Raw genomic sequence first — 25,265 nt, forward strand, 5'->3', positions numbered from 1 at the left:
GCTACCCACCAGAGGTGTTTCTGGAGGCCTTACTTTTGGGGTGAGCTTTTGCTGTTTTAGGTCCAACTGCTATTCTCTTGGTTTATTAGGTTCTCTGTGGCAACTTGGCATACTCCTTCTGTTTTTTTCTTTCTCTATTTTTTTCTGCCTGGCAGATGATAATTAATAGCCTGACAATGTAAATACAGACAGAATCTTCGTGTTAACTTATTAAACAGCATTTTTCCGTGCTTTTGACATCAGTGACAGCTCATGGTTAGGTTTTTGTTTAGTTTTGTTTTGAGACGGAGTCTTGCTCTGTCACCCAAGCTGGAGTACAGTGGCGTGATCTTGGCTCACTGCAGTTTCCATCTCCCGGGTTCAAGCAATTGTCCTGCCTTAGCCTCTCAGGTATCTGGGATTACAGGCATGCACCACCACGCCTGGCTAATTTTTGTATTTTTAGTAGAGATGGGGTTTCACCATGCTGGCCAGGCTGGTCTCGAACTCCTGACCTCAGGTGATCCGCCTGCCTCGGCCTCCCAAAGTGCTGGGATTACAGGCTTGAGTCACCGTGCCCGGCTCGCTCATGATTAGGCTTTATGGTTGCTTCCAGAAATCAGAATTCTATATGACAGTTTGCTGTAGGATAGACAAAGGCATAATTTGGCATGTGACACTGACCTGTAGGATTTGGGACACCTTTGTTTCTACCACTGTCCACTTAAATAAGAAGAGAACTGACCCATTTTGGTCCCTGGGAGGACTGGCCCACAGTGGAATTTGGTCCTGCTGTAGATAAAATAGCAAGATCAACTGATGGGAGAAAATAATGAACAAGGGCCATTCCTACTGGAGGGTTTTTACTTTACAGTGGCAGACAAAGCTAGAGGTGAAATTTTTTTTCCCATTTTGATTCACTTGCTCTTTCTAAAACTGGAAATACTGGTAGTTCAGAACCAACCCTCCTCCTATAATGAAAACAGAATTCTGCTTCTTTGTAAACTTTCTTAAATGTTAGAAAGAAGGAACCGCATATAAATATTGTCTAAACTCTACAGCAGGGTCTGATATATGTAGATTTGGGGAGGGGGCTTGATTATGTCATTTGGTGGACTTCTATAAGAGCATACACAATGAGGCATGGACACAAACATTTATTTATAATGAAAATAAACACAACTAATTACCTTAGCCTTGGCGAGCAGTCCCTTTCTTCTGAGCTTTGGGATTTTCAGTTTATACAAACAGCTTATATAGAAATGCAACTGGGCTTCCTCTCCCTAACTAAAAAGTGCTGTCATGCTGTGCTGTTCCCAGCATTCACAGAGACTGCACAAGTGCCATTGGTTTGGGGCAAATCTGCTTCTACCGAAAAGATGAAAAAAAAAAAAAGAAAAAGAAAAGCTCCCTTTCCGCAACCCAAATTATCAATCGTTTTATAGTCTATGGCTTGTACGGTCTTCTCTTTGTTAAAAACCCAAACAAGAGCCTGGGTGCAGTGGCTCACACCTGTAATCCCAGCACTTTGGGGGGCCGAGGCGAGTGGATCACCTCAGGCCAGGAGGTCCAGACCAGCCTGGCCAACATGGTGAAACCCCGTCTCTACTAAAAATACAAAAAATTAGCTGGGCGTGGATGGCAGATGCCTGATATCCCAGCTACTCATGAGGCTGAGGCAGGAGAATCGCTTGAACCCGGAGGCGGAGGGTGCAGTGAGCTGAGATCACGCCACTGCACTCCAGCCTGGGCAACAAGAGCGAAACTCCATCTCAAAAAAAAAACAAAAACAAAACAGAAACCCAAACAGGAATGATTTTTAAAACATTGTATCTTGGGCTGAGACCAATTTTAGATTTAAAAGTTTTGCAGGCTGGGGGCGGTGGCTCACGCCTGTAATCACAGCCCTTGGGGAGGTCGAGGCTGGGGTCCAGGATTTTGAGATCAGCCAACGTGGCGAAACCCTGTCTCTATATTTTTTTTAACTTTTGGTAATTAGAACAACTTTGAAATTTAAACGTGAAATTCAATCTTAGTATCTGTTAGGCAGATGATTTTTTTTTCCCCGAACAGTTGAGGAAAATCAGTTACTCAAAAAGCAACACCTTATTTATTTTGATAATAGCATATTTGATTTTGAAATAAAGTGTCTGCAAAACTCATTGCCATATACAAGTAATCCAGTGATTATCTCAGGTCTTCATCCATTTGAATTAATCACTTACAATGCAGTTATTTGTTTTCTTTTTGAGATTTGCGTCTCTGCAGAGTACGTACAGCAAACATTTTAAAGCATGTGAAAACCAGCTTTTCTCCAACCTTCACAGGTCACATTTGTTTCTGTGAGCAAACAGACAATGGCAATCTTTTCCTTAGCTTTAGAAAGTTTTTTTTTTAAAGAGGCCCTTGCTCTGTCACCCAGGTCAGAGTGCAGTAGTGCAATCATGGTTCGACGTAGCCTCAAACTTCTGGGCACATGTGATCCTCCTGGCTCAGCCTTCCCAGTAGTTAAGACTAGAGGCATGTGCCACTGCGCCAGATAGTTCTTTAAAATGCTTTTGTAGAAACAGGTTCTTGCCATGTTGCCCAGGCTGGTCTCAAATTCTTGGCTTCAAGCTTCCTTCCACGTCAGCCTCCCAAAGTCTTGGGACTACAGAAGTGAGCCACCACAGCCAGCCTTAAGTAATTTCTGTTCACACCTCTTGTGTACCCAGAGTTGAGGATATTTACACCAGCAGCAATGGAGCAGGAAGCAGCTGGGTGCTCTGACCTTGGCATTTGCCACTCTGGGGCTAGCTGCTTTAAAACTGTCAGCCAGTGACCAGATGAACCAGGCCTTGTTACACTAATCAGATAACGGTATAGAGGCGGCTCCCGGTGTGTGCACGTGGACCGCCACTGTGACACCAGCTGTGATCACACCCCCCACCCCCGGGGAAAAATGAGAAACAAAAACCCTCAAAATGCTGTCACTTAAAGCAGAAGTCTTTGAGGGGATGTATTTCTTAACGTTTTACAGGATTCCACTTTTCTACATCTGAGTATTTTCCCCCAGATATAGTAACAAATACAACACTTTAGAGAATTTCATTTTTCTAATGGCGCTTAATGTCATCGTCTGCTTTTATTAAATTTGCCATTTGAACCCACCAGCTCCTGGTGTACAGTTCCTCTGGGAAACAGAAAGGCCGAAAGATTACCGCCAGATAATCCCAGCCCTCCCTAAAGATCTTGTTACCTTACAGAAAATCCATTCTGAGTTAAAAGTCGTTCTTCTTTGCTTTGAACATTTAATAACTTTATCTGTATAGTAGGCACCCTAAGACCTGCTCTGAGCCTCTTCAAAGATGACTCCCCCACCCCATACCTGTTTCCTCTGCAAGAGGCTGCTTTCTCTGCCCAGAAGGAATATTTTTATGATTTGATTCCTTTTCTATTTCAGTTTTCAAATTGTGACATCATTGGTATCTTGTTAGAAGTGCCTGTCACCCACATTACAGCCCTCCACTCCTCCTTTCCTTTTCTCTACACCAGTTGTTAACATCTGGCATTTGACATCTGTCTCTCACCCACACTTTGGCTAAAATATAAGAATCAAGCCCAGGTGCGGTGACTTACAACGGTAATCCCAGCACTTTGGGAGGCCGAGGAGGGCGGATCACTTGAGCCCAGGAGTTCGAGACCAATCTGGGAAGCATAGTGAGACCCTTGTCTCTACGAACGTTTAAAAAAATTAGCTGGACGTGGTGGTGCACGCCTGTATTCCTAGTTGCTTGGGAGGCTAAGGTGGGAGGATCGCTTGACTTGAGCCCAGGAGTTTGAGGCTGCAGTGAGCCATGATTGCACCACTGTACCAGCCTGGGCAACAGATTGAGACCCTGTCTCAAAAAATAAAATAAAATATAAGAATCATGAGGACGGCCGGGCACGGTGGCTCACGCCTGTAATCCCCACACTTTGGGAGGCCGAGGTGGGCGGATCACGAGGTCAGGAGATCCAGACCATCCAGGCTAACACGGTGAAACTCCGTCTCTACTAAAAATACAAAAAAATTAGCCGGGCGTGGTGGCGGGCGCCTGTAGTCCCAGCCACTTGGGAGGCTGAAGCAGGAGAATCGCTTGAATCCGGGAGCTGGAGGTTGTAGTAAGCCGAGATCGTGCCACTGCACTCCAGCCTAGGCTACAAGAGGGAGACTCTGTCTCCAAAAAAAAAAAAAAAAAAGAATCATGAGGGCAGAGTTTTCTTGGGATGGGGATTCGGAGGGTGGTCCATGGCAGGAGATGGGGTGAGGGGGGCTGTTTAGTTCAGTGCTGAATCCTCTGAGCCTGGACCAGTAGCTGGAACAGAGGTAGCGCTCAGCAAATATATGAATAAATGAAGACACAGTTTTCAGTTGGAGTTCACAGTATTACATTTATAATCATCTAGGTGAGGAGGAGCTGTTGGCTTTAACTCTGTATCAATTCATTTCCTGCTTAAAGACTGCGGCTTTGTACATTTTATCCAAGGCTCTCTTTCCTTTGTTGCATCAGCACTGACAAAGCCAGACCCTTTCCAGGATCGCACCATGCTGGGTTCTCACAGGTGCTTGCTGTTGGTTAGCCAGGTGTTGCCTGGAAACATGAAATAGGACCCTGACCTGCACGTGATTAAATGTGGATTCCTAGTAACGCTATCAAACACAAGTGCCCAATAGATAAAGAGAGGGGTCCCCTTGCACACACTTTGGTATTTCAAATACAATATTATTGCATGACATTTTCTCAAGCTGTATCCTGTTTTGTAATGTTTTGAAGACTGGAGGGAACACACACAAAATAGGCCTTGAACTTAGGTAAAAGTACTATGCTATGCGATTTCTGGGAACTGGTTTTAATTCATTCTCCTGCTCTGCAGCAATTGTTTTTAGTGTGGCTGCACTGAAATTACTTATGTCATTGACAAATTTCTGGTCCAAATATTTCACTGCCTTCATCCTTAAAGAAACAGAGATTTATTTTCCTGTAATCAGCAGTCAAGATGTTTTTCTCTGAACTATATTCAAGTCTGACAGTGCAGTGAACTTTTTTTCCTTCTGACTTAACAAAAGGAGTGAGGAAGAAGGACAGCAAGACTTCTGTTCACCCTTTCTCCCCTTCGTAAATCAACTAATTCTAGGGCGCTAGACACGGCTAAGACTGCTTTAATTACTACTTTTTGCGTGATCTTGATTTGAATACATTTCTTTATCTCATTGCAAGTCAGTTTTCATCTATGAAATGAGCATCCCCACCCATCTCCGAAATTCTGTGGCTAATATCAATATGACTAGTTATATGGGTACTAAAAATGAAATAGTGGATTAGCTAATGAAGACACCCAAGCGACCTGAAGCAGGCAGCAATCCACTTGGTAATTCCGTTATGCCTTTTTATAAAAATACTTTTATGGCTTTTCTAATTTTTTTTTTTTTTTCGGAGACAGAGTCTCCGAACTCTCCCAGGCTGAAGTACAGTGGTGCAGTCTCAGCTCACTGCAACCTCTGCCTCCTGGGTTCAAGCAATTCTCATGCCTCAGGCTCCTGAGTAGCTGGAATTACAGGCGTGCACCACCACGCCCAGCTAATTTTTGTATTTTAGTAGAGATGGGGTTTTGCCATGTTGACCATGGCTGGTCTCAAACTCGTAACCTCAAGTCATCCACCCACTTCAGCCTCCCAAGTGCTGGGATTACAGGCATGAGCCACCGCACCCGGCCTCTAATCTGATCTTAAAAGCCATTTTCTATATTTGAAGTTTTAATTTAATTAAACAAAAAGTTCAAGGGGGGAATTTTATTCAAAAATATCTTGAAACATAATCCTCTTGGTGTCAAAGAATAAGATAAATCCCTTCACAAATGTGGCCACTAAACGTCATCCTCTCATCCCCCCATATGTGTTCTGCTGAATGACTGGCGGTCAGGACTATGTAATAGGGATTGGTTATAGCCAGGGATGGGGGAAAGAAGTTGGTAAATGCCATAGCTGCTTGCCCTAAAGATTTTCAGTCAGCCTTGGAGATGTTACCTATAAATCTCTATAGTTCGGAGGCCACTCAAGTCCACTTTCAAATTGGGTCCATGTTCTGGCCCATTTGAGAAGGAGCCAGGCAAGTCAGCCTGTAGGCTTGCCCAAGTAACAGTCTAAGAATTAGGCCCTTTTCTGCTGGGCACAGTGGCTCACGCCTGTAATCCCAGCACTTTGGGAGGCTGAGGTGGGTGGATCACAAGGTCAGGAGTTCGAGACCAGCCTGGGCAACATAGTGAAACCCCGTCCTACTAAAAATACAAAAATTAGCCCGGCATGGTGGCATGCAGCTGTAGTCCCAGCTATTCGGGAGGCTGAGGCAGGAGAATCGCTTGAACCCGGTAGGCGAGGGTTGCAATGAGCCGAGATCACACCATTGCACTCCACCCTGGGCAACAGAGTGAGACTCTGTCTCAAGAAAAAAAAAAAAAAAGATTTAGGCCCTTTTCCTTGAAGGGACTGAGGTGGTCCACAAGGAGTGGCTCTCTGATTGTAACTAAGCCACTAATGGAGACATGCAATTATTTTAGCTGTGTCTTAGTCCGTTCAGGCTGTTGTAACAAAATACCTTAGACCAGGTAATTTATAAGCAACAGAAATTTATTACTTATAGTTCTGGAGGCTGGGAAGTCCCAGATCAAGGCACCAACAGAATCAGAGTCTTGTGAGGTCCCACTTTCTCTGGATGGTGCCACCTATGTGTTCTCATGTGGCAGAAGGGCAGAGGGGACAAACAAACACCCTTAAGCCTCTTATATGAGGGCACTAATCCCATTCATGAGTGCTCCATCCTGAGGCTGATCACCTCCCAAAGGCCCCACCCTCTAATATCATCACCTTGGTGATTAGGTTTCAACATATGAAATTTTTTGTGGGGAGGGACACAAACATTCAGACTGTAGTGGCTGTTTTATTTATGGAATGAAAATCTTTTAGGCATTTTCTCAAGGACTGACTCACCTTGAGTGTAAAACAATTTCAGTGTCACCTAATTTATAGTAACTTTTACATGATTAAGGCAATGATATAGTCTAGAGCATGATGTCCCTGTATTATAGTGTATTGGTCCATTCTCACACTGTTATAAAGAACTGCCCAAGACTGGGTAGTTTATAAAGGAAAGAGGTTTAATTGACTCACAGTTCTGCAGGGGCGGGGAGGCCTCAGGAAACTTAACAATAATGGCGGAAGGGGAAGCAAACACATCCTTCTTCACATGGCAGCAGGAAGGAGAAGTGGCGAGCAAAAGGGGGAAGAACCCCTTATAAAACCACCAGATCTCATGAGAACTCACTCACTATCATGAGAACAGCATGAGGGTAACTGCCCCCATGATTAAATTTCCTCCCACTGAGTTCCTCCCATTAAACATGGGGATTATGGGAACTACAAGTCAAGATGAGATTTGGGTGGGGACACAGACAAACCATATCATATAGAAAAGGATGCTTTGATAATGTCTGAAGATATATTCTCTGGGCTTAAAATTCAACAACTGTTTAGCCTGTTAATCAAGATTTATTCCTGCATATCATGCTTCGAATTGTTTTCAAATTGCTCTTTACTTCAAGTATCAGTATAGCCTGATATCAGGTAGTTTTCCTCCGACCTCTAGTGTTAACCAGTGCATGCATTAGTCATTCAGGTGAAAAGTGCTATGTGCTAGATTGAATTAATTGAGTGAACTGGTTGCTTTCATGTGTCTTAACATGGACGTGCAATATTTAGACCAACCGCAGGCATAAGGTCATTATCCCCCTGTATTAATTTGCTAAGGTTGTCATGACAAAATACTCGACTGGTGGTTCAAACAACAGAAATTTATTTTCTCACAGTTCTGGAGGCTGGAGGTCCGAGATCTTGGTGTTGCAGGTTTGGTTCCTCCTGAGGCCTCTCTCTTTTGCTCGCAGACGGCCGCCTTCTCACTGTATCGTCACATGGTCTTTCCTCTGTGCACATGCACATTCCTGGTCTCTTGGTGTGTCCAAATTTCCTGTTCTTATAATTTTTTTGAGACACGGTATCGCTCTGTCACCCAGGCTGGAGTGCAGTGGCGCGATCTCGGCTCGCTGCAACCTCCACCTCTGGGTTTCAAGCAATTCTCCTGCCTCAGCCTCCTGAGTAGCTGGGATTACAGGCTTGCACCACCACACCTGGCTAATTTTTGTATTTTTAGTAGAGACGGGGTTCTACTCTTCACCATGTTGGCCAGGATGGTCTCGAACTCCTGACCTCAAGTGATCAGCCCGCCTTGGCCTCTCAAAGTGCTGGGATTACAGGCGTGAGCCACCACACCCGGCCAGGACTCCTGTTCTTATTAGGGCCCAGGCTAATGGCCTCATTTTAACTTAGTCACTTCGTTAAAGGCCCTGTCTCCAAATGCAGTAACTTTCTCAAGTACTGGGAGTTAGGACTTCAAATGTGAATTTTGTGGGGGACACAGTTCAGCTCATAACACCGCCTCCATGAGTGATCCACTGGAAATTCACATTTGGGAACAGAGAAATGTTAGTAGAAGGGAGCTTTGAGGCTCTGAACCAGGAGCCTACCCCTGTGCAGGAGGCTCTTCTGCTTAACCACTTGAAGGTTTGCGGAGTTTTCTCCATAAAAGGAAGCCATTTATTCCTCTGGAGCTAAAATATGCCTCCCTCCAACTGCTCTTCTCTGTTCCCAGGGCTGCCTTGTGGAACTACAGAGAATAAACTCACCTCCTTTTTCCACATGGCAGCCCTCTAAGTATTTGAAAACATTTATCATGTCTTTCCTTTAATCTTTTCTTCTCTAGGCAAAACATCTCCCGAGAAAATAACCTGTCTCACATTAAAAGAAAAACTCCAGGGCTTATATATATTTCAGACAGGAATGTGCTTGATGGAAGCTTGCCAAACATCACTGGGTTTCAATTTCAGTATCCCCAGTTTTAAGAACCATTTCTTTCTCAGACTCTTTAAAACATGAGAACAACTTAGTTTGCTTTAAGCCAAATATTATATACTGAAAGAATTGACTGGAGGACATGAGTCATTGATACTGAAGTATGTGACTGCTGGTATAAGGGAATCCCTTACCTCAAGGATGTTGCAAAATGAGCTGAAGTCAAATAAAGTGAAGAAAACATCAATATATGTTGACATGGATTCCTAACCCTGGAATGATCAGTCACCCTTCTGGTACTTCACTCAACAAGATGATTAGCATACAGCCTTACACAAAGCAGTAGCTAGAGATTAGAGCAAGAGAATTCCTGCTTTCCAGATAACTGTTAGCTGTAAATAAAGTGGCAGATTGATAGTGTCCAACCAAATAGTCAGGGAGCAGAGCCAAGGTTTGCTCTCAAGCAGCCTCCTGCCAAGCCCTGTGACCTCACCGTGTAAGCTTAGCATTATGGACTGAAGGTTTGTGTCCCCCTAAACGTACATGTCGAAATCCTAACTCTAAGGTGATGTGGTATTTGGAGGGAAAGCCTTTGTGAGGTACTTAGGTCATGAGGGTGGAGCCCTCATGAATGGGATTAGTGTCCTTCCCTTTCACCATGTGAGGTTACAGGGAGCAGTCTGCAGTCCAGAAGAATCCAGGACTACCAGATCCCAACCACACTGGCCTCCTGATCTCTGACTTTCAGCCTGCAGGATTGTGGAAAATAAAAGTGTTCCTTGTTTATAAGCCACCTGGTTTATATGGTGCTTTTATAGCAGCCCAAATGGACTAGGACAATGAACAAAAAGTATGATGTCTTCTCATGCTTGTCAAAATCCTGGTCCTAAGTATTCCCCTAATCAAGTCCATTTCTGTTGAGTATGTTCAAATACCTTAGGATTCTTTGTCAGTGTTATCTTGATAGATGTCTGGCCATTGGAATCTGATGCTGTTTCGAGTCTTCATCCCTTATGTAGCTCATGGACTCCTTTTGGTCTTCAGTTTTCTGAATATCTTGTAATGAGGACTCTCCACGTGAATCCGTTTCCATTCAATGTGCGGGGTTCTTTGAGCTCTTTCGGTCTAGAAACTCATACACTTGGCTGGATGCAGTGGCTCATGCCTGTAATTCCAGTGCTCTGGGAGGCCAAGGTGGGAGGATCACTTGAGCCCAGGGGTTTGAGACTAGCCTGGGCAACACAGCAAGACCCCGTCTCTACAAAAAAATAAAAATAAAAAAATTATCTAGGTGTGGTGTTGCATGCCTGTAGTTCCAGCTACTCCAGAGGCTCAGGCAGGAGAATCGCTTGAGCCCAGGAGGTTGAGGTTACAATGAATCTCACCATTTACACTGTAGCCTGGGTGACAGAGTGAGACCCTGTCTCTAAGAAAAGAAAAGAAAAATTCATGTACCTCATTTCTGGGAAATTTTTTTACATATATCTATACCTTTTCATTTGGTCTATTTCATAGAGTTGCCTAGGTAAAGAAATAAATATATGTGGACTCAAGGAGAGAAATAATATTTATTCTACATCACTTTTATTATTTGAGTTTTTAATGTTTATTTTCCCGTTGCTTTTTAAAGTGATTTTAAAATTCTCTTTTAGTGTTTCTGTTGTATCATAACAATTCCTTTGAGGAACTATTCTTCAGAGTATTTATCTTGGATTTTGAATAGCAATAACCATGTCTATACAAACATGTCCAGTTCAACTGGACCATAAAACTCAATTAGTTGATATTTATCTATGTGCATAGCATGCAGCAGAGAGCCTGCCCATCCTGTAGATAACCTGACAGTGTCATTTAGATTCAGGGTGTGTATAGATAGATAGATACAGACAGATATCTATCTATACACACCCTGAATCTAAAAGACAGGTGTCTGTCTATCTATCTATCTATCTATCTATCTATCTATCTATCTATCTACTATCTATAACTATCTAGATATAGATATATCTCTATATAGATATATATATATAGATATAGATATATATATCTATATAGAGATATATCTCCTCTTTTACAGTTATCCAATTTGGAGCTGTATTTCACTCAACTTTAAATTATCTTGGAGCATTTCAAAGGAATAACAGGAGGTGAGGTCACCCCACTGATTGCCAGGGTTGACTTGGCTGATCGGGCTGGCTAGGCGGGTGTCCCCTTCCTCCCTCACCACTCCATGGGCGTCCCTCCCGAAGCTGCACACTTGGTTGAAGAGGATGACCATCCCTGATAGAGGAGGACTGGTCTTCGGTCAAGGGTGTACAAGTAGCTGCGCTCCCCTGCTAGAACCTCCAAACACGCGCTCAAGGTCCATTTAAAGGAATAACAGTGGCATCGATTCTCTGTTCTATTTCATCTGTCCTTTTCCAGCAAGAAGAAAAGAGACCCTACTGGTTTTTGGCTTCTTTTCCTCCAAGGGCGATGCCAGGTTAAAGAGAAAATGAGAGGAGAGGAGGCCAGGGAGGGTTGAATTTAGTGTGCAAGTCCATTCTTCCATTCCGTGACACTCATATTTGGGTTAAATACCTAAGCATCCTTGGAGGAAGTTGGAGAGCCTAATATTGGTTTTAATTCTGAGTGTAGTGGTCCCTGTCCCCTCCCTTTCAGGAAAAATAGAGGAAAGTAGCCTGCTTTATTGCAGCCATCTGTCCACTGGTCCCGCCTCCAGACTGCCCACTCCGAGGCCTCTCCCGTTCTCTTCCTGTGTCACTGCTTGGTTTTTTGTTTTTGTTTTTTATAGAGATGGGATCTTGCTGTGTTGCCCAGGCTGGTCTCGCACTCCTGGCCTCAAGCAATCCTCCCATCTCGGCCTCCCCAAGTGCTGGGATTACAGGCATGAGCCACCTCGCCCGGCCTGTGTCACTACTTTGTGCTGTCACACTGTGGACCACTGTTTCCATGTTTTAATCCTCTCCACATGTGGCTTTGCTGCCACTTTCTCCCTCATTGCCCCTAATCCCTGTCCATTCCCAGGGTCCTTTTTCAGATTCCTCTTCCTCAGGGTTCCAGGCCATTCTTATTTCATGGACATCATTCCGTTCGGGTGATCCCACAGATTCGCACTGCATCTTTCATCTTGTGGGCACCGTGACTTTGGACTCCTCCCTCACCTTCGTCACTACTGCATCCATCTGTTTTGTTGCTTCAGTCTCTTCCTCCCGTCATCACAGCCTGGTTGCCTTTTCTAAATCACAGTCAAATTCGGTGCCACCATCCCCTGCCTCAAGCCTCCAATGGCTCCCTATAGTCTTCAGAACCAGCAGCACAAAGTTCTTTTTTAAAGAAACAAACCAGCTTTTGTGAGCTGTAATTCACATACTATGCAGTTGACCCATTTAAAGTACACAGTTCAGTGGTTTTTGCTATATTCACAGAGTTGTATAACCACCCCCACAATCAACTGTGGGACATTTTCTTTTCTTTCTTTCTTTTTTTTTTTTGAGAGGGAGTCTTGCTCTGTTGCCCAGGCTGGAGTGCAATGACGCGATCTCAGCTCACTGCAACCTTCACCTCCTGGGTTCAAGTGATTCTCATGCCTCAGCCTCCCGAGTAGCTGGGATTACAGGCGTGCGCCACAATGTCTGGCTAAATTTTGTATTTTTAATAGAGATGGGATTTCACCATGTTGACCAGGCTGGTCTTGAACTCCTGACCTCAAGTGATCTGCCCGCCTCGGCCTCCCAAAGTGTTGGGATTATAGGTGTGAGCCACCACACCTGGCCAGGACATTTTCATTACCTCATAAAGAAACTCCATCCTGGTTAGCTGTCACTCCCTCTCCCGCCAAAACCCCCAGTCTTAGGTAACCACTAACTACTTTATGTCTATGGATTCGCCTCTTGTAGACATTTCAAATAAATGGAATTAAACCGTGTATGCTCTTTGGTGACTAGCTTCTTTCACTTAAAGTTTTTTCAATATTCATCTATGTTATGGCATGTTTCAGTACTTTATTTCTTATTACTTTTTATTACTAACCCATTTCCATTAAACAAGCTCAATTTTATTTATCCCTGCATGAGCTGATAGATATTTAGGTTGCTTCCACTTTTGGCTACTAGGAATATTATGCTGTAATGAACATTGATGGACAAGTTTTTCTGTGGGTGTGTATTTCCATTGCTCTTGGTTATATGTCTAGGAGAATTGCTGGGTCATATAATAAATTTATGTTTAACATTCTGAGGAACTACCAGCCTATTTTCCAAAGTGGCTGTACCATTTTACCTTCCCAATAGCGATGTGTGAGGGTTCCACCTTCTCCATTCCTTGTTATTGTGGTCTTCCTTGCCCCCCGCCACCTGCCCCTGTTTTTTAAACCAGGCACATCAGCTTTATGTTTTTTTTTTTTTTTTTTTTTTTTTGACACAGTCTCACTTTGTCGCCCAGGCTGGAGTGCAGTGGTGCGATACCATCTTACTGCAACCTCCACCCCTCTGGGTTCAAGCAATTCTTGTGCTTCAGCCTCCTGAGTAGCTGGGATTACAGGCGCCCGCCACCACGCCCGGCTAATTTTTGTATTTTTAGTAGAGACGGGGTTTCATCATGTTGGCCAGGCTGGTCTCGAACTCCTGATCTCGTGATCTGCCCACCTCAGCCTCCCAAAGTGCTGGGATCACAGGTGTGAGCCACCGCGCCCAACCTGTTGTCTTTTTTCTTTTTTATTATAGTCATCCTAGTGGGTGTGAGGTGGTTTTGATTTGCATTTTTCTAAGGGCTAATAACGTTGGACGTATTTTCATGTGCTCATTGGTCATTTGTATATTTTCTTTAGAGAAATGGCTACTCAGATTCTTTGCTCACTTTTAATGGATAATTTGTTACAAAGTCTTTAACATGTCATTCAAGACCCTTTATAAATATTTTTAGTTTCATCTCCAGTGTTGTCTTCCCCGCCAAGCCCCCAACTCCCGGACCTCCCTAAGTAAACTCCGAACCTCATAGCTGTGAGGAACCCACTCATGATTGCCCAAATGTCCTGCTCTTGGCATCTCTGCCTCTGCCCATGCTCGTCTGTCCCTATGGACCGCCTTCCTTTGTGCCCCAGGTAGGGAGTGTCCCCTCATCCCTTCAGAGACCAGCTCCAAGGCTACCTCAGAGGTGAGCCAAACTAGAGCTGCCCACTCCCGCCACTGGGCGTGTCCACCACCCACTCCCGCCACTGGGCGTGTCCACCACCCACTCCTGCCACTGGGTGTGTGCACCATCCATGACTGAGCTCCCGAGGCCAGGGATAGTATCTCATTTAGATCCCTGGGTGTTTTGCGTAATAAATATGGAGCAACAACTTGGTAAATATTTGTTGAGTGAACCATTCTGATTTGGGAAAACACGTTTTCTATCATCCATCTATGTATTATACAGCAAAATGTTTCCTATAATTCTTGCTTTGGGTGGTGATGTCTTCCTCTAAAAATCCTAATTTAACAAAAACAGAGAATGGAAATGATAAAAGAAAGTCTCCTGCATTGGACAGTGACCTTAGGTCTCATCTTTACTCCTGCTTTTATCCTAATTGATGACTTTTCTTTGTAAATGCAGACACACAGAGGCTCGCTGGGCAGCTGGGCCGTGCACCCTGTCCTTGATCATTCTTAGAGGTAGAGATCAAAGGAGACCCATTGGCTGAGAGAGTCTACAACTTGCCACATGATCTATTGCTCTGCCTTGTGATTTTAATTGCCTCTTTAAGAATATCAAATCAGGCCGGACGCAGTGGCTCATGCCTGTAGTCCCAGCGCTTTGGGAGGCCGAGGCGGGTGGATCACCTGAGGTCAGGAGTTCAAGACCAGCCTGGCCAACACGGTGAAACCCCGTCTCCACTAAAAATACAAAAATTAGCCGAGCATGGTGGCATGCGCCTGTAATCCCAGCTACTTTTGGGAGGCTGAGGCAGGAGAATCACTTGAACCCGGGGGTCAGAGGTTGCAATGAGCCGAGATCGCGTCATTGCACCCCAGCCTGGGTGACAAGAGCGAGACTCCATCTCAAAAAAAAAAAAAATCAAATCAGATGTGTTAGCGTCTTCATGAATGTCATAAAAAGAAATGTTTCAGTGCCAAAACTGAACAGCAGTACAGTGACCTTTGAAAATGTTGTTTAGGGTATTAAATGTGTAACTAGTGACATTTTGTGTGTTTTTCTTTTTCTTCCTATCCAGCTCAGTGGAATAGCTGTTGCTTGTCCCAGTGTTAGAATTTGGACTGATAGAAAGGAGAGGAGCTGGAGATTCATTCTGCTCTGCAAGGGCAGACTCGATTTCAGAAGTGGCACCAGATGATAGCCTTGTGTTGTCCCCAACCACTGGTGCTGAGAAATGATGCAGAACCAAGCCCTCAGATCCCAGATCACCCACGGCTCCTGGGACATCTCTGGGGAAGGGACTTATTAATGTAGACCCTGATGCAACATCCCAAGTCGTCTTTATCCATGATTTGCACAGCCAGGACACTCTGGGGCTGGGATTGGGAGGAGAGGAATGGCCAAGTTGCCCTGCCCCCTTGGCTCTGTGGACTCCAGAAGGATGGTCAGTACCAGCAGCATTTCACACACACCAGCCTCATTATTAAAATTGGAGCAATTTGTGAAATAGAGTTGAGACTTCTCTAGAGAAAAAAGGTTGGGAAGCAGCTCAGTGGCTGGGTCTGGGAGTCAGCTTCCAGGCAATATCTCACTGAGTCAGGACAAGGCCCATCATTCCCTGTTCCCGCCAGGCCGGGTATTTGCCAGGATGTGAAACGGAAGCCAGGCTTTTGGAGAGGCTGAAGCTGATTTTTGTAACAAGGTCTGGTTACCAGCAAGGAAGCGGTTTTCACGTTGCTCACTCTGGGCCCGAGTGTGGTGCATCGCGCCCCCTGGTGCCCAAAAAGTGCAACTACGTGCCATGCCAGCCAGCTCTCCTGGACTTCCATTTTTCCCTGATTCTCCTGTTCCTCGCCCACCCTTCTCTTTGCTGTGCCCACTGTGGTCTACGCCGAGGCTCCCCTCCCTCCTCCCTGCCCCAAGCAATAATGAACAAGATCTTCATTCTCTGAAGAGAAGTGCAATAGTAAAACTTTCCTTTTTGTTTGTGTAGGGGAAGAGCTGGTGTTAATGGGTCAGGCAGGCAAGGCATGAAGTGATAAATAGGGAAAGGATGAAAGAAGGGAACAAACCCAGGGGACCTAACGGACCCACCCTAACAAAAAATTGGAGTACAAAAAAAGTGTATTAAAATTGTGAGACCACACCAACTCATTCGTCACTCGTGTCTTTACAAAGAACAAACCTGAAGCTTCAATGAGAAAGAATTGAAGTATTCTAGGGCTGCCTGAAATCTTCTGAACTTTTAACATAGGCTTTGATTTCCGAGTTGTGTGCTTGCATGTTAGAGATATGATAGTGTCTAAAAATTGGAACATGGCATAGTTTGATCTAAAAAGTTAGCTAACTTCTGCCATTTAGAAAAAGACCCCATGCTCAAGTCTGCTTTTGAAAAGTTGCCTTGGTCAAGTGTTGAAGACAGCACTTGTTAGAAGGAACAAGTTCACTTCTGAGAGCCCTTCTCAAAGAGTTTAGGAAACAGCACTACTGAGAGTTGCCAGTCTTCAGAGCAGTGCAACGTGTGTGTATGCGTAAGACACAGATGGTGAAAATATCAAATGCTACAGATGCCAAGAAGGGAGGTGTTGGCACCACACCAACCTTTAAACAAACATAAGGATGCAGAATGCAGTCTTTAAAATGGAGGGAGAATTTACTGTCTGTGTGGCTATTTCCTTGAAATGACTTAAAAAGCTGAGATACAGAAGTATTAGTAAATCGGTGCCAGGAATGAAGTAACCGTTTAGATCCAATGCGCCGGCTCCAGCATCGAACTCATGCCCAGCACCCTTTAAACCCTCCCGGGACTCTGCAGAACCCGCTGACCACTCACAGAGCCCAGCTCGGGGGAGGGCTTTAAGGTGAAGCACGTGACCCCCTGCTTGTGCGGCCCGGGCGGGGAAGTTTGCGCTCCCGAAGTCCTGGAGCTCAGCAAGGGAGGGGCCAGCGCCAGCCCGCGTGTGGGTGGCTGGGTGGGGGCGTGGGTGGGGGTCCGCCTATAATTATCTGGGGAAATGCATCCGCGCTCTGCTTTTCGCTGCGGCAGCTCCGAGGGCACCTCCGGTTCTCCCCCATCCTCCGGGAGTGTCTGGGCGCTCAGTCCGCTCTGATCCCGCCGAAACCACCTGCGGTTGGCAGGCAGGAGACTAGGCGTCTGCCGGGGAGGGCAGGGACCCGCTAAGCTGATCTCCTGTACAGTAGTGCTACTTAAAATATGCTGGGGACCATCACCATCACAGGTAAGGCACAAGCCAGGTCGCTTTTGTCCTCCCTGGACGGCAGGCACGGGGCACGAAAAGGGGCTTTCTTCCGTTGAATGAGCGTTTGGTGGGGAGCCCGGGAGGTCAGTGGCGGGACCGTTATTGGCATTTATTTCTCTCCGTGTACTGAGTTTTTCTTCAGAAGAACATTCTCCCTTGGGCTCAGCAAGAATCAGACAACCTCAGTGTTTCATTTTTGGCTGAGCTGGAATCTTCTTGACTGTGCCTATGGGAGACCTTTAGTATATTTTGTTCGGGGTTGTACCCTTCCCCTTAGGGAGAGAGGGATGTGGAGAGGAACAACAGCAGCCGACTGAATAGAAATATGTCAGATTTGTGTGAATTTGAAAATAAGCTGTGAAAGCTTAATCTCTTGCCGTAGTCATAGACAGAATACATTCCTCTTCTGGGCAAATTACAAGTGTTTGCATTTTGACTTGTTTACTAGGAACTTTGAATAAAGGTACACTTGGTGGTTTAGGGGACTAACATTTAAGCTCTGCTTTAAGTGGTGGTTTTAATAAAGCCATAGTTATTATAAAATCGGTGGCTAGGAAGCAACACTATTTAGGCAACAAATAGTAAAAAAAAAAAAAAAAAGAAAAAAAGAAAAAAGTATGTTTCTTTAGCTTACTTTCTAGGAATCTGGCCGTGAGTATGAATTATAATATTTACTGCCTACTTCTAGCAAATAACTTACACGCATCAAACTTTTAGAATGCTCTTACAGCTCCTCTAACTTGACATTTGATAGTCTTATGCCATTGTACTGTGGCCTAACCTGCGTATTTTCTCTTCCTGTCATCAAGAAAATTAAATTCCGTTTGTGAATTTAACTTTATAGGAACAGGACTTCTTTATTCTTTAAATATTTGAGATCATTGCTGCCAAATCTTTTTTTTTGTTTGTTTGTTTTTTGTTTGTTTTTTGAGATGGAGTCTTGCTCTTTCGCCAGACTGAAGTGCAATGGTGTGATCTTGGCTTACTGCAACCTCCACCTCCTGGGTTCAAGCGATTCTCCTGCCTCAGCCTCCCGAGTAGCTGGGGTTACAGGCACGTGCCACCACGCCCAGATAATTTTTGTATTTTTAGTAGAGCCGGGGTTTCACCAAGTTGGCCAGGATGGTCTCGATCTCTTGACCTTGTGATCTGCCCGCCTTGGTCTCCCAAAGTGCTAGGATTATAGACGTGAGCCACCGCACCTGGCCTACATTTTTTTTTTTTTTTTAATCAACTGTAGAATTTCTAGGACTTAAAATTTTCTCAATGCAACTGCTCCTGCAAAGCCATGCGCTCCAGTGGAATTTACAAGAATGTGAAAGTTCAGCAATACTAAAATTATCTCTCACTTCCTATAGATTAGCTTGTTTACTTTGAGATTTCCTTAAAATTCGACCCCCAAGTTGACTTGGCTAACCTTTCTACCATTTACTCAGCTTGAAAGTTTATGCCATATCTCGAAACTATTAATAAATAGACTGTACAAAATGAAAAAAATTTAAAACACAAAAATCTCCATTTTTTCCCCCAGATCATTAACTTTTCTATGAATGAAATATGCAAATGTGTATTGTAGGGAGTCACAGCTGGGGTGGTGCTTCTGAGATCATGACTTTTTTCTGAGTACTTTTTGGGTACAATATGATTTTTATTATATTCACTATTCAATTAGTCGCATACTGAGATTCCTATGGTAAAAGGAGGTGGTCTAAAGTTTTAGCAGTAATTAAAGGTTAATAAACTGGGAGCACTTGAGGGGGCTTGTAATAGTTGGCTCAGATAATCCCAATGGAGTGATAAATGAATGGAAATAGTGGGAAGGACTAACTTTTAAGGCAAAATCAGGTAATTGGCTCTATTGCTTTCTAAATTTACTTTTCTTACAATGTGGGTGTGGAGGATATGGCAAAATTTTGCACTTTTTCCTGGTAAGAAGAAAGTGCACAGAAAATCTTAACTCCAAAAATTTACCAGCAAGAAATCTTACGTAGTGGAAAAAGTAAAAATGAAAGGGAGTTTCAGCTGTCATTTGGTTTTTGCTCCGCAAGTTATTCTGATGGGGAAGATTCATAATCATCATCTTTAAATAGTTGCTCAGAATCTTGAAAAGCCATGAGAGCTTTAAAAATTGACAGTAACAACCGGGCGCGGTGGCTCACGCCTGTAATCCCAGGACTTTGGGAGGCCGAGGTGGGCGGATCACGAGGTCAGGAGATCGAGACCATCCTGGCTAACACGGTGAAACCCCGTCTCTAGTAAAAATACAAAAAAATTAGCCGGGTGTGGTGGCGGGTGCCTGTAGTCCCAGCTACTTGGGAGGCTGAGGCAGGAGAATGGCGTGAACTCGGGAGGCAGAGCTTGCAGTGAGCCGAGATCGCGCCTCTGCACTCCAGCCTGGGCGACAGAGCGAGACTCCATCTCAAAAAAAAAAAAAAAATTGACAGTAAGGTGGCCGGGCGCGGCGGCTCACGCCTGTGATTCCAGCACTTTGGGAGGCGGAGGCGGGCGGATCACGAGGTCAGGAGTACAAGACTAGCCTGACCAACATGGTGAAACCCCGTCTCTACTAAAAATACAAAAATTAGCTGGACGTGGTAGTGTGCACCTGTGATCCCAGCTACTCGGGAGGCTGAGGCAGGAGAATTGCTTGAACCTGGGAGGCAGAGGTTGCAGTGAGTCAAGATTGTGCCACTGCACTCCAGCCTGGGTGACAGAGCAAGACTCCGTCTCAAAAAAAAAAAAAAAAATTAAATTGACAGTAAGGTTTAATGAAATCTTAAAGGTCTTTGCATCTTTGGGATTATTCACTTAAATACTATAGAAGGTTATTGTAGTTATCTTTAGTACTATGTTATTTTAGGAGGCCTGTGTTTAAATTTTACAATTCATTAACAGGACTGATGGCATTTTGTAGGAACTACTTAGGAACAAGTTTGCATTTCTGAAAGTAAGGAAAAGCTGTCACTTAATACTATTATCCCCCTCCCCCCTGCCACACACACAACCCAGTTTACACAAACCACTAAAATGAATGCAGTGGAAATTGAATTATGAAATGATTGCTTATTCACATTACATACTGTTGCCATTCTTGGGGTCTCTTTCTCTCACATCTCATTTGCAATAAGTTAGCTTTGAGACAAGAAATAAGTGATGTGACACGATGATCATCCCCTTCCCCACTCAACTGTAAATGGCGTGCCAGCATAAAAATGCCTTTTTTTTTGAGATGAAGTCTCACTCTGTCACCCAGGCTGGAGTGCAGTGGCGCGATCTCAGCTCACTGCAACCTCCACCTCCCGGGTTCAAGCAGTTCTCCCTGCCTCAGCCTCCCAAGCAGCTGGGATTACAGGCACCTGCCACCACGCCCCGCTAATGTTTGTATTTTTAGTAGAGACGAGGTTTCGCCATGTTGGCCAGGCTGGTCTTGAACTCCTGACCTCAGGTGATCCACCCGCCTCAGCCTCCCAAAGTGGTGTGAGCCACCACGCCCGGCCAAAAAAATGCTTTTTGAATTAAGCAAGTATCTTTTCGCTTTTCTCTAACACCCACATTACTGAAACTGATAATATTGATACATTGCAAACTGTGAAGTATCATGAGAAACAGGGACATTATTCTTTAAAGTAGAAACTGGGGAAGAATCAATCCTCCAACGTTCATGTTAGTTCTAGATTATTTATAATGCACTTTCCGATGCAAATAATTTTTACAAGAGAAAAAAATACCTTGCACATGGGTGTTTCACATCTGCTATGGAGACAGATTCCTTGTCAAGAGACTTTGGAGACACGAAATTGATACTTTCACAACTGCTGGATTAATAACTACCACTTCCTGAGTGCCTAGTCTGGCAGGTGTTGTTCAGCACTTTGTGGACATTATCATGTATTCCTCACAATAATCCTGCAAAAAGTGGTTCTGTAACCCCATTTCTATCATAAAAGTAAGTTTCTCATGATTTGATAATTACCCAAGGTTTCACAGCTAGAAAGAGCATAACTGTAGAGTACCTTGCAAAAGACCTCTTTCTCGTTGTGAAGATGCTAATACTTGTTTAGTGACCCACATTCTTACATGCCTGCCCAGATGTTTAAGGGATCGTGAAACATCAATATCAAGACCAGGGATTGGGACTGGGCACGGTGGCTTATGCCTGTAATCCCAGCACTTTGGGAGGCCAAGGCAGGTGGATCGCTTGAGTCCAGGAGTTTGAGACCAGCATGGTCAACGTAGGGGAGACCTCCTCTCTACAACAAATTAAAGATTTAGCTGTGCATGGTGGCACATGCCTGTAGTCCCAGTCACTTGGGAAGCTGAGGTAGGAGAATCACTTGCACCACTGAATTCCAGCCTGAGCAACAGAGCAAGACCCTGTCCCTACCCCACCCCCCAAAAAACACACCAGGTCCAATGATGATGTCACCTATATGCTCCAGTATGGGATCCTTGCTTTTATGAATTTGCATATATCTCCGCTTGGAGGTTTTCTGGTTAATGAGCTTTAGAACAAGGGAGATTGGGTGTGTAGCCTATAAGGGATGGACTTAGAATGCAGAGAATTCCTGGAAAAATTCCAGGACAATGCTACGAATCTTGGGGGAAAGATAACTAGTTCCAGATGTTACTGTAAGCCGTCCTGATGTGCCTGGGGATGGGGAGCACTGGTGATTCTCAGCCTGAAAAATGAACATGTCGTTTCTGCAGTATCGTACTTCTTTTTCTCAACCAAAAATGATGGTGCTGGTGTCACTGAAACCTGATAGCTAAGTTTTGGATAAAAACATTAATATTTTGTAGTATATAATCAACATATTCCTTTAAAGTTTTTTTTTCTTTTAAGCCTCTAAAAGAAAACAATTTATAATTTATCTCTTAATCGCTAAGTATTTGGAAAAGTGAGAAAAAAAAGATGATGCTCCAGGTTTTGAACACACGGGCTGTCTCTACATTATATGGAGCTTGCGGATGGGGAACACATAGCCAGCAGGGACCACTGTAGCTTAGCCCTTCTTGGGATCATGGAGCGTTTGCAGCTTTGGGGACGGGGAGATTATGGAGATTTTCGAAAGGAAAATGTGTATTTGCACATACACGTTATAGACCTGGAGACTGATTTTATAAATCGGGATTCACAGAACATTTATCTGGAGATAAACCCAGGTTAATAGCAGGTAACAACACCTCAGTGTGAAACACTTCAGTAATTCTTGGCCCAAGTGAGGTTTTTGTACATGAAATGATTTCAAGTTTTGATTTCTTACTACATCACTAAAGATGTAACTTTTCATATATTTTCACATTTATTTGACTCCGTTAATATTCCATAGGACTTTTTTTTTTAACCTTGAAGGGGCTTGTTATGACAAAGCTGTTTAAAATATTAAAAAGCACCTAGTTTGTTATTATTGAATAAGTGTTATAATTTTTTTTATAATGTTGTAATTGAGAATAGTTTATACTCTTAAAAATAGGGTGAGAGGTGTTCAGTCCAGGAAGTATCTCCTCTATTTCACTTTCCACACTTATTATTAAGGATAACTTTCATTTATCTTAGAAAAACATAAAGCAAAAGCCTACCCAAGGTCTCGCTTGGCAGTGATAACTTCAAGTTATTTTTCCTTCCGGAATGTTGTAGCATGAAGTAGCTTCATCCATATCCAGCCTTTATTTTTACTGCATCTTTTTAAAAGTTTTGGCCGGGTGCGGTGGCTCACGCCTGTAATCCCAGCACTTTGGGAGGCCGAGGTGGGTAGATCACGAGGTAAGGAGATCGAGACCATCCTGGCTAACATGGTGAAACCCCATCTCTACTAAAAATACAAAAAATTAGCCGGGCGTGGTGGCAGGCACCTGTAGTCCCAGCTACTCGGGAGGCTGAGGCAGGAGAATGGCATGAACCTGGGAGGTGGAGCTGGCAGTAAGCCAAGATTGCACCAACGCACTCCAGCCTGGACGACAGAGCGAGACTCCGTCTCAAAAAAAAAAAAAAAAAGTTTTGTTTTGGAGTACTAGTAGCACGATCATAGCTCACTGCAGCCTGGAACTCCTGGGCTCAACGATCCTCCTGTCTCAGCCTCCCAAGTAGCTGGGACCCTACTGAGTAGCACGTCCAGTTCTGGGTCTGTTTTTTTTTTTTTTTTTTTTTGAGACAGTCTCGCTCTGTTGCCAGGCTGCTGGAGTGCAGTGGCATGATCTCAGCTCACTGCAGCCTCCGCCTCCCAGGTTCAAATGATTCTCCTGCCTCAGCCTCCTGAGTAGCTGGGATTACAGGCGCCCGCCACCACATCTGGCTAAATTTTTGTATTTTTAGTAGAGATGGGGTTTCACCGTGTTAGCCAGGATGGTCTCGATCTCCTGACCTCGTGATCCGCCCGCCTCGGCCTCCCAAAGTGCTGGGATTACAGACGTGAGCCACCGCGCCCGGCCCAGCCCTGCATCTTATATGCACTATATCCATGCAGAGATCCCTCCTTCTTGGGTATATTCAGAAAATTAAGTGAATGAAAGCTTTCTCTACATCTTCTTTAAAATTATCATATCTTTTCCAAGTAATGTTTTCAGCATATTGACCCTGTCTCACACAAGCATGTGATTAGGTGTCTCCACCCAGAAGAAGGGTATAGAAATATTTGGTTTCTGTAGTAATATTCTCTTGAGAAACAAGGCATGGATGATGTTGTTTCACTAATGGTTGATGTCGAAAGCCCTGTCAATACAAGACTGTATCACACATGGGTATGTGGCCTGTTGGAAGGATTAGTCTTTTTCCTGCGCTTTGAAGTGTCTACAGGGTGGGAAAAGACCAGTGACTAGCAGGACAGTACGAAGACGGAGGTGCCTGTGAATTCGGGCTCCAGAGGCTTCTACGGGGGACACACCGACCACTCCCTTTAACATTTTGGCCATCTTTGTGACCTAGTGGGATGCTGGAATTGTTTCTGGCCGAACCTCAGCACCAGTGAGTACGTGAGCACCACGACTGGGCTTTCTGGGCATGGGAGAGACTTGGGCGGATAGCAGCGTGTTTAAAAATGGCGGGGTCATTCAATCACACATGAGTTAAAAAACTATACATTGTGTGGAAAAGACCACTCCAAAATCAGAGGAGGTTTTAGGGGCACCAAAAAGTACATCCACATATCAGTGATCCCAAATCAAAGATGGAGCTTTTTGGTTTTCCTCTTTGTAGCCAGTCGGACAAATCTAAGGCAGATGAAAATTCCATAGGAGTTTTGAATTAAAAGAAGCGCCCTAACGGAAAGCTGTGATGAAGGGTGGTTGTGAATGGATTCCACTGTGCCAGGCCTGCACGGGTTAGCACTGGCTGCCTGTCCTGGAAGCCCCCTCCATTATTTTTAGAGGCCTCTTATCAATCACTCCCTTCACTCCCAGCAGTGGGAGTGGGTTGAGCCTCTGGTCTGAGCCTCTCCTGCCTGCCGCCCCCACATCTTTTAGGCTATTTTATAATGCATTTAACAGCCTCCCGCTGTGTTCACTAAGCTACAGTCTTTAACTCATTCACAACCAGCATGCAGGGAGCATGTAAAAATACTTTCTCAGGCCGGGCGCAGTGGCTCACGCCTGTAATCCCAGCACTTTGGGAGGCCGACATGAGCGGATCACCTGAGGTCAGGAGTTTGAGACCAATCTGGCCAACATGGCGAAACTCTGTTTCTACTAAAAATTAGCTGGGCATGGTGGCGGGCGCCTGTGGTCCCAGCTACTCGGGAGGCTGAGGCAGGAAAATTGCTTGAACCCGGGAGGTGGAGGCTGCAGTCGAGATCGCACCACTGCACTCTAGCCTGGGCAACAGAGCAAGACTGTGACTTCAAAAAAAAAAAAAAAAATGAAAGGTTTCTGCTCACCACAAACTAGAAGGGAATGATGGTGGTCTTGTTTGGGACTCTTTACCTGCAGCAAGAACCTGGGAAATGTGGGGGTGATTTTGGTGTGTCATGTACAGTTGG

At 44.5% G+C, this 25,265-nt stretch overlaps 1 protein-coding gene and 1 pseudogene across 3 annotated transcripts in view, besides 2 other annotated features; both read left to right on the top strand.

Moving 5' to 3' along the window:
* The window catches only part of AKAP12 (A-kinase anchoring protein 12), a 118,593-nt gene that overhangs the window by 68,645 nt on the left and 24,683 nt on the right, over window positions 1-25,265 (top strand). Inside the window, exon 1 of one of the 3 annotated variants that reach the window (NM_144497.2) lies at window positions 16,920-17,274. The exons of the other annotated variants lie outside the window; for them this stretch is intronic. Within the exon in view, the coding sequence (NP_653080.1) occupies window positions 17,250-17,274 (25 nt within the window). The 5' untranslated portion in view covers window positions 16,920-17,249. Of the gene's footprint in view, window positions 1-16,919; window positions 17,275-25,265 lie in introns of those variants that run through there. 3 annotated transcript variants of the gene reach the window in all.
* Window positions 4,176-4,815: an enhancer, noted in NCBI's record as "NANOG-H3K27ac hESC enhancer chr6:151633922-151634561 (GRCh37/hg19 assembly coordinates)". NCBI's record gives its function as "activates a minimal SCP1, AML or CMV promoter by ChIP-STARR-seq in primed H9 embryonic stem cells {active_cell/tissue: H9 hESC(primed)}" and the evidence as "EXISTENCE:reporter gene assay evidence [ECO:0000049][PMID:30033119]".
* RN7SKP268 (RN7SK pseudogene 268) lies at window positions 11,052-11,275 on the top strand (annotated as a pseudogene).
* Window positions 15,708-15,908: a silencer, noted in NCBI's record as "fragment chr6:151645454-151645654 (GRCh37/hg19 assembly coordinates)". NCBI's record gives its function as "represses an EF-1alpha promoter that drives an FKBP-Casp9 reporter gene in an ReSE screen in phorbol 12-myristate 13-acetate-treated (for megakaryocytic differentiation) K562 erythroleukemia cells {active_cell/tissue: K562(+PMA)}" and the evidence as "EXISTENCE:reporter gene assay evidence [ECO:0000049][PMID:32094911]".

Source organism: Homo sapiens, chromosome 6, assembly GCF_000001405.40.
Source record: "Homo sapiens chromosome 6, GRCh38.p14 Primary Assembly".
Classification (NCBI taxonomy): Eukaryota; Metazoa; Chordata; class Mammalia; order Primates; family Hominidae; genus Homo; species Homo sapiens.